This window comes from Homo sapiens, chromosome X, assembly GCF_000001405.40.
Source record: "Homo sapiens chromosome X, GRCh38.p14 Primary Assembly".
In the NCBI taxonomy this organism is placed as follows: Eukaryota; Metazoa; Chordata; class Mammalia; order Primates; family Hominidae; genus Homo; species Homo sapiens.
The window spans coordinates 47,744,167-47,753,690 of NC_000023.11; the positions used below are offsets into that span (position 1 = coordinate 47,744,167).

Sequence of the window (9,524 nt, forward strand, 5' to 3'; positions counted from 1 at the left end):
ATTATGTGTGGAACTATTTATACTTTCGAGAAAACGTGTTTGTTTTTGAAAAACGATAAAGCTTTCTCAGGAATCAGATCTGATTGATTTATGTGGAAAAGCCTTAAGTGAGAAGTTGTTCCTTACTGTACATGTGGGAAATAATTCTCAAGGGAACCTTTAAGAATGCATGGCAGGAAGGGGGGAAATTCCTTTTAAAAATATTTTTTATTTTATTTTTTGGTAGAGAAGGGGTCTCCCTACGTTGACCAGGCTGGTCTTGAATGCCTGGGCTCAAGCAATCCTTCTGCCTCGGCCTCCCAAGCACTGGGATTACAGGTGTGAGCCACCATGCCCGGCCAGGAAATTTCTTATTTGCACCAGCCTTATTGATTATCACAATCTTCATGTTGACAATTTAATGCATTAGGAAAGCTTTCTTGTAAAATTTTTCAAAACAGATTTTTGGTAGAAAAGTTTGTGGGAAATTATATAAATAATAATGCTATACACCATGGAAAGTTATGCATTTTAAAGTGTGGAAAAAATGAATGATAGGTTCACAATACAGTTCTGAGGGAAACATGTTCTTAAATCCATAAAGATTATGTTGCAAAGTAAAAGGAGTAACAGGAAGTATAAATGTATTGTTATTTTTAAAATCTAAAGTAACTGCATTTCACATTCTCTAGCAACATATTCTAAAATAAAAATCATGACACTAATTTATTCATCTATACATACACAATAGTGTATGTTTAGTTTTTAGTAAATGCATGAACATGATCTAATCATAGATACTGGCTTATGTAATGTATCTTTTATCTTCCTTGTTTACTTTTCCACCCCCTCTGTCCCATTTCATTGCATCTTCACCCACATCAGCAACCCCCTAGAGATATCCATCTAGTGTGATCTGTTTTATTTTTGTCCCTGTGCTTATAATTATATATACACACATAAATTATCTCTACATACTTATACTTGTATAGGAGTTCATTTCTTCTCTGTTTTAGAAAAGTAACATTGTTATTCCCACATCCCTGCATCTTCGTTTTTTGCTTAACACCTCTTTTAATGGTATTGAATTTTCCCAACCATTACTCATGTGTCAGTTAGTCACCAGGTAATCAACACGAGAGCTCATAGGCATGTACCTATAAGTGTTCATTCTCACAGATTTACAGTTCATCTGGGGTTCTGTTCATCCAAGCTAGGCTTGGTTGGGTGGCTCTATTTAAGGTTGTGGTAGCTGTGGCATCTCTATTCTTCAACTCTCTCAGTGTGGGGCTTGAGTTTTAGGGGCAGAGGTTCCCCATGGGAATATTCTTCTCACAGCTATGGCAGAAACATAAGGGGACATGGGAAAACTATGGGGTGACTAATGAGGCTCTGTGGTATGGGTTATGGAGGGATTCTGTGTGGTCAGTGATGAGGAAATCTGTGTAGTTAATAACTAAGGATCTTTGCAATCAGTGATGGGGTTGTGTACATCTTAAAGCCTAGACCTAGAGCTGACACACTCACTCTCACATGCTCTTGGCCAAAGTAAGTCACATGTGCAAGTCCAAGTTGAAGAGACAGGGAAGTATACTCTGCTCACGTGAGGGCAAGGCAAGGATGTAGATGCAGGAAGGGCTGAAAGGTTGGGGCCAATGACTTCATCTATCACGAAACAATGGTTTTTTTTTTTTCTTTTAACAATTTCTCTACTTTTTTTTTCCACCCAAAACAATGTTGTCAATAAATACCATAGAGAGAGGGAGTAGAGCATAAGTAGGTGTTTCAGCTCTGGAGCCAGACTTTCTAAAATCCATATGGTAAAAACACATATGCAAGAAGAGGAGGAGAAATGAGAGAGGCTAGCACTGCCCAACTTTAGATTCTACTACAACCCCCCCCTATAATTAAAGCAATGGGATACTGACACAGGAATGGGCAGACAGACCATAGACTAGAAATAAAAATTCCAGGCATAGACCCAAGTATATGTAGAAATTATAGTACTGTGTATGAGAAAAGAGTTCAAGACACTGGGGCAGGCTGGGCACGGTGGCTCACACCTGTAATCCCAGCACTTTGGGACGCTGAGGAGGGCGGATCACTTGAGGCCAGGAGTTTGAGACCACCCTGGCTGACACAGCAAAACCCCTTCTCTATTTTTTTTAATTTAATTTATAAAAAGACACCGGGGCAAAGATGTACTTTTAAATAACTGGATAGCCGTTTAGAAAAAAAGATTAAATTGGATCTATATCTCGCACCATACATGAGAATTGTAAGAGCCCAGTAATAGACCCCAGGTAGATCATAACCTTTGTCTTAAACTAAAACTGAAAAGTGTGTGGTCGGGGAAGAAGTGGGGCTTAGAAGATAAAACAGCCTCTGATTTCTTTCAGCTGGGAATTGGCCTTCTCCCGACAGCTAGGCTTTGATGTTCTGCTGTTGAACATAAACAATTTCCCAGTACAAGAGATAAAAACAGGACCACCCTGTCAGCACAGTGGACCACAGACAAAACAAAAAAGAACGCCAGATGTGCTAACTCTAAGTCTCTCCTTTCTCTACAACTTAGGAAGTGTCTGGCACAGTGTTACCTTTTGCTCAGCAAGTCACTGATTTAGATCAGGGGCTCCCTGCTGTGGAGCAGTTTGAATAAAGCATTTCTTATACTTTTCAGCTCAGTCTCAGATTTGAAAGTTTTTAGATAGAATAAGCTGTAAATGGATGACAGATCTAAATGTAAAAATAGTGAAATTATATAGGTACTAGAATATAATATACGTGAATTCCTTTCTAACAGTTGTGAGGAAAGGCCTTCTAAATGACCCAAATCCAGATACCTCATAGATTCGATGTAAGAACAAAACTGAATTAATACACATAAAGCACTTGGAAGTGGAGCTAGTAAGTGCTCCATGAATAGTACACCTGATCCTTCATGCCAGAGTTTTTGTTTTGTTTGTTTGAGACAGGGTCTTGCTCTGTCACCCAGGCTGGAGTCCAGTGACATGATCATGATTTAGTGCAGTCTTGACCTCCAGGGCTCAAGCAATCTTCTTGCCTCAGCCTCCTGAGGAGCTGTGACCAGAGGTGCATACCAGCACACCCAGCTAATTTATTTTTATTTTTATTTTTTGTAGAGATGGGGGCTCACTATGTTGCCCAGGCTGACCTCGAACTCCTGGGCTCAAGTGATCCTCCTGCCTTGGCCTCCTAAAGTATGGGAATTACAGGCGTGAGCTACCATGCCTCACCTGTTTTGTTTGTTTTCGTTTTCTTGTGTTGTCATTTTTGCGTGCTGATTCATTTCCAGTATCTGCAAGAGCAGAATCCAAGGAAATATAGAGACTAAGAAAACACCAGTTGTCCATATTAGATATTAATAATAACTGCTTCTATTTTCCTTTGGAGGTTGGGGTGTGTTCTGATAGTTATTAAGAGGGGCTTTTAGAACCCTGCCTCCACTTGCCACCAGTACAGTTGGAGTGGGCTGTGCTGTCATAGTATCTTCTCCTCATTTTCCCTAGTATTCTCATCCCAGAACAGCATGTAGCATCCTGACAATTACCCCAGTGTTATCTCCTAAGCTCTCATTCCTGGCTCTTTCCCATCCTCTTCTTAGCAAATGGTCCCTTGACACCATTGCTATGCACTGAGGGGCACCTCTGCTTCTCTAAATATTGCTGCAAGCTCTAGGTACCAGCTCCAAAGACACTTCCCTCCAGAAAACCTGTCCAGAGGAGGACCCCACCCTTGCTGCCTGCTGCTCTGGTATAAGTTCACAACTCTGCTCTGTGAGGCAGGAGGTGCCTTTGTCTTCTGTATGGAATGGACACCTTCCCCAGATAATGATGCCCACAGTGAAGAGCCAAGTGGGCACAGCCATATTCCCTGCCCTACAGCACTGCAGACACCTTTTCATTTCTATTGCAGTAGTGAAAGCTGTCAAAACAATACTAAGTAACGGTGATTATGGAGCCTATCTTGTTGGTTTCTTCAGTGGAGACGTCTTCAGTATTTTTCAATTCAGTGTTCTGTTTCTTGATGACTTTCAGTAAATGATCTCTATTGTATTTAAGGTTTTAATATTCCTGCTTTGGTTTGAATTTTGATTGAGAATGACTGCCAATTTGTGCCCAATGCCTACTGTATATCCATTGATATAATCATGTGTTCCCCTAGGGATCATGTATACTTGCTGTGGTACTATAGTGTCCTTTCTCCTTGGGACCAACCTCCTCTTCAATTAATGCGCTCTGGGTCTGAAAGTGGCTCAGGTCTGGAAACTCGCCTCTGTTGCATTGCAGTCCTATCATCCTCAAAGCAATCAGTTAGCAAAAGTCTGTAACAGCTTTTCCTATTGCCAGCCCTGACCTAGAAAGGAGAGACACCACTGAACTTAGTGATGTCGGTGTCCCTCTCACCTGAAAATTCTTAATGGCCTTTGTAAATATGACTTCTCGTGGAGTGTAATTATCCAGTTTCTGGTAGTGTATCCAGCAGGTCCACTTCCCTGCGACTTTTCATCCCTTCTCCCACTAACTGCCATGGCAAATCTGGCATTTCAACATCCCTTAGCACAGATTATTGCTTGCCCCATATTGCAAGGAACCATCTCAGTGGTGAATTACATCATTTCCTGAAGTCCTTGCCAAGATGTTAAATCCTGTGTTTCTCTTTTACCCATTCTTGTGTTCTTCCCATCCACCACCTCTTGATCCAATGCCCTCAGAATCCCTCTTGATCAAGCACCCTCAAAATTCTGCCCCATATGTACTCCTCCGGCTCTTGTTGGTACATGCAGCCCAGGCCTTGCATCGCCTTTGCAGTATAGCCTCTTTCCTCCCTTTTCATGCCCAGCACATATCTGTGGGTTATCCCGTGGCTTAACCTTATTTATAGGTATAGTGGCAAAGAGGGGAAGTGAGGGTAGATCCTGATGGGGGCACAGTGGAGGGGCTGCAGTGTACTTCAGCATAGGGGTGTGATAGTCCTTAACAGGGAGGGATGGGCCACTTCTGCAGGCTTACAGTGTTCAGAGATATGGTAACCAGCATCCAAGATGGACCGTAATAACCCTTGCCTTCTGGTATTCATGCCCTAGTATAGTCCCTTCTCACGCTGGTTAGGGACTTGATCCTGTATGACCAATTCAGTACACTTGAGTCTACGTCATAGAAACCACTGCAGCTGTTTCCTTGACCTCTCAGATCATTCACTCTGGGGGAAGCCAGCTGCCACACTGTGAGAACAACCCTGTGGAGAGAGCCATGCGGGGAAGAACTGAGGCTCCTGGCCAATAAACAGCCAGTACCAACTTGCTAGCCATGTGAATGAGCTAACTTGGAAGTGGACACTCCAGGACCAGATGGCGTTACAGATGACTTTAGCCTCAGCCAATATCTAATGCAACCACAAGAGAAACCCTAAGCAAGAACTGCCGAGGCAAGTCCTTGAATTTCTGACCCACAGAATATGTAGGCATAATAAATGGTTGTTTTACATAACTAAGTTTTGGAGAAATTTGCAACATAGCCATAATAACTGGAATAAAAGGAATCTGGAGATTCAGGATTTTGGAGGTCATCAACCCAGACGTACCCTGTGTCAAGGTTGCTTCCTTTCCCAGTCAGAGCCCTGACCTTGGCATAGAAGATTTGCCTTAGTTGAGAGTTTCACTTTCCTTGTACTCTACTGCTCTGACCAAGTCCTGAGCCTTGTCCTTAGTGTCCTTTGCCCTTCCACTTCAGGACATGAAAGCTTCTTCATATGCTGCTGCCAAGGAAGCCCCTTGAGGCTTTTACACTTTGTTTCATTGCCTGTTAACCACTCTGTGCCTTTTATTGTCGTTTTGTAGACTGTCAATTGAGCTCAGCAAAGGCACCAAAAACTTTTAGCCTGATTGTTACTATTTCCCCCATGTGCATCCCCCTCCACCAGTAGCCAGCCCAGTTCACCACCTGTGAGAGTTTTAACAATTGAATTGTTTATTTATTCCAGGAGCTGTTTGCACTCCACCTGCTACTAATAATGATGACTTCTTTCTCAGATGGGCAGTGGGTGATGTAGTTCCAGAACTCCATTTCATCCACAGCTTGCTGTCTCAGAGCACTTCTGATACTAATTGTTATGTGTTGAGTTCCCTAGGAAGCAGACCCTGAGAAAGAGTTTAGAGTACAGGATGTTTATTAGGGAGGGCCCTTGGGAGAAACACCTGTGGGAAAGAGTGGAAGGAAGCTGGAGTGAACAGAAGAAGCTGAGCTGTGCTGAAGACCAAATGACAGCCTTAGCCAATCCTGCAGGGAGCTTTGGAGCTAGAATGGCTCTTTGCTGTGCTGAGTTTTTATTCCCTAGACTTGATCAGACATTGGATGGGGACTGCCCCAGGAAAGGGCATGATCTTGGGCATGGTAGCTCCGTGCATCTCAGGCAATTCCTTAAGGGATTTACAGTCCTGAATACTGTCAGCTGATAACTGGGAAACCATCTTTCCTTGAAGAGAGATCTGGGTGGTAGGTCACGGTGACCATGGGAGTTGTTCAACAGACATTGGGCTGAAAGCAAATGGGGTATCTTGATGTTACAGGAATCCCTGCTTACCGGGCCTCTGGTTTAATCAAATGTGACTAGAGTGAGTCCATTTTGGAGTGAGTAACTAGGCACTCACAAGGCACCTATAGGGTTAATACTTAGGCTCTGAAAATAGCCACATTCTAAGTTGACCATCAATTATAAATACAGAATATTTACGGCCATACAGAGCATCTCCCACCAAGCCAGCAGAATGTCCACATGTCCTAAGCATGCAGCCCACTTTGCTTAAAGATAACATTAATGAGCAAGTTTAGGTTGAAGGATTAATGGTCATTAATAACACCAATTGCTCCTACCCATAGTGAACACATCTGCACTTTCCAAGTTTAATTCTAGCTCCTTATAGTTTCTTATAAGTAGGGACACTAACAAAGGACAATGCTTTCCTCCTCTTGCTTTCTGAGGACACCCTACTCTGTAACAGAATAGTTTCCACTAAACTTGCTTCTTTCACTGTGCTCTGTGAATTGTCTCTAATTCTTTCCTGTGCAAGATCCAAGAACCTGCTATTGAAATCTGGATCGGGACCCTCTTTTCTAATAACAGTGAGGCCCAGTGAAAGGACCTCATGAGGTTTTCCACAAACACCGTGATGGAGGAAAACGGGAAGTTCAGCAAATGGTGTGCTGAAGGAAATAGCGGGACAGCAGACTGCTGGGAGAAAATGGGGAAACAATAGATGCTGTTCAGGGGACAGTAGGGATTTGAGGACACTATATGATCTCCCAACACCCTCTGCGCCCCTTCAATTTTCCCCCAACATAACCCCTGAAACACTTTGGTTTCATTGCCTGTTAACAACTCTCTGCCTTTTATTATCATTTTCTAGATTGTCAATTGCGCTCAGCAGATGCACCCAATACTTTTAGCCTTATTGTCACTAGCCTTATTGTTACAGAATAATAGTGTGATGGGGGCTAATGATGAACTCATTGACACAGGAATTTTCTCTCAGCCCCTTTGCCAGACTCGCAGCAAGGGCACCCTCTCTACTCAGCCCGTGCCACTCAACCCCTTGTGGGAGGGAGCACATGAGCAAGTGAGTGTGGGATAAGCTCTTTTAGTTCTGCTGTCCACAGCCCATTGAACAGCGGTGTGTTAGCAGCTCAGCTGGCTCCTGGCCCCGTCATGTGGGGTGGCTGCCCTCTGCTGGCGAGGGCAAAGGGCCAGTGCAACAACCTTTATGGGTACCTGCACTAGGTGGGTCCTGAACCCTAGTTCAGCATCCAAGAAGAATGAGGATGTGCTATCAAGGAGTGAGCAAGGTGGGGGGTTTTACTGAGGGATGAGTGATGAAATAGCTTTCTGTGGAGAGGGGATACGTGGGTGGACCCCCTACCTGAAGGCAGGAAAGCCCCCCAACCCCCCACCCTCCGCTGCAATGTGTCTGAGTCTGGGGCTTTCATGGGCTCAGAATAGGGGAGGGGCAGGCAAACAGGAACAGATGTTTTCACTCTGGTCCAAGGTTTTACCTGGGACTGTCCTCAGCTTGAAGGTGGGGTTTCACCAGGGACCCACCCCTATCTTCCTAGGCATTTGGCTGCCTCTTGTCGCTATCATCATTAGCCTCCATCACATTATTATTCTGTGACTCCCTACTGGACCCCAGCACAGTATCTGTGAATCACCAACAACAGCAAGGGCAACGTCTACTGACTCCATCAGCACCCCCTAGAACAGCATTTTCTACTCTACCTGGCCCTGATCCGTGTCTTCTGACATCCAAATAGCCTGAATCATCACAGTGTCCAATGACTTCACTAGGCCACAGCTCAGTCACAGCTGTTCCGTTTTGAGTTTTAATCTTCTTTTTCAGTAGGCACTCTCTTTGCAACCCAGGGTCCCTGGGTTTTGGAGTATGTAACCAAACTCAGGCCTGGGCCACTAGTTATTTGAAAGCCAAAAGCTCAAAAGCCAAGCTTTGGTAAAAGGAAAGGTAGCTTTACTTGAGAAGCCAGCAACCTAGGGGAGGCAGTGAACTAGCATTCAAAGATTCAAAGACCACCTTACCGAGTTGTGTCTCTGGATCAGGGAGGTTTAAGGGAAATTAGGGGAAATGATGATCAAAACATTTGCACGCGTGCAGTCTCGAGTGGGCAGTTAATCATTGCTTTCTTGGTCAATGTTTTGTGGCCTTCTGCAGGCGCTATCAGCGTATATTCTTATCAGGCTGGTCAGCATGTCCCAGAGTTGTTGGTCAGCGTCTTTTCTTTTATCTCTATTGAAGGTCATGTTTCCTGAGGCTGTTTTTCCTGAATAATCTACAAACTCAAGCAAAGTAATAATTATATTCAAACAAATAAACTTTTCTCTAACATGGAGTCAGTACTGTGAAAAAGTATCCATTTTTAACTGTTGCACCTTGGGTTCTTATTTCAAAAAGTTCCATGAAGAAGATCAGCCCCAGCAAAACAAACAAACAAACAAACAAAAACAGTTGGATCCAGAGATGCCTGAGTTAGAGATGACTTTGGCAACTCTCCTCATTGGCATACTTAAAACCCTGCTCAGGGAGGAGCTTATTTGCCACCTTCTATGCGGAAGCATGTTCACGACTGCACCTGTGCTGCCTTTACTCCACCTCTACATACAATGACTCGGCTAACCAGCCCCACCAAGGCCCTTGTTTTCACCTTCGTTCCAGGAGGTGCTGCTTTGAGGAATTATCCCCAGTGTCCTCCTTGTTGCAAGTAATAAAATCCTCTTGTTAAGTCCTCCTTGGTTTTGGTCATTGGACAGTCACTGCCAAGCAATCAAACCCACTCGTATGAGTAACACCTTGTTGAGATGTAGCACAAGGATTAGTTGGGTATGTACTCTTAGCTTCCTGCTGGTTCCTGCTTTCACCACCCTGGCAAAGAGATGTGCCAATGCACAGAAATACAACTTCACCTTGACTTTGGGGACATCTGCACCGCCTCATTGAGTACATGTCAATGTGTAAGGTC

The 9,524-nt window shown here is 43.8% G+C and overlaps 3 annotated features.

Moving 5' to 3' along the window:
• Positions 5,031 to 5,230: an enhancer, noted in NCBI's record as "active region_29595". NCBI's record gives its function as "activates an Ori minimal core promoter by ATAC-STARR-seq in GM12878 lymphoblastoid cells {active_cell/tissue: GM12878}" and the evidence as "EXISTENCE:reporter gene assay evidence [ECO:0000049][PMID:35858748]".
• Positions 7,644 to 7,723: an enhancer, noted in NCBI's record as "active region_29596". NCBI's record gives its function as "activates an Ori minimal core promoter by ATAC-STARR-seq in GM12878 lymphoblastoid cells {active_cell/tissue: GM12878}" and the evidence as "EXISTENCE:reporter gene assay evidence [ECO:0000049][PMID:35858748]".
• Positions 7,784 to 7,833: an enhancer, noted in NCBI's record as "active region_29597". NCBI's record gives its function as "activates an Ori minimal core promoter by ATAC-STARR-seq in GM12878 lymphoblastoid cells {active_cell/tissue: GM12878}" and the evidence as "EXISTENCE:reporter gene assay evidence [ECO:0000049][PMID:35858748]".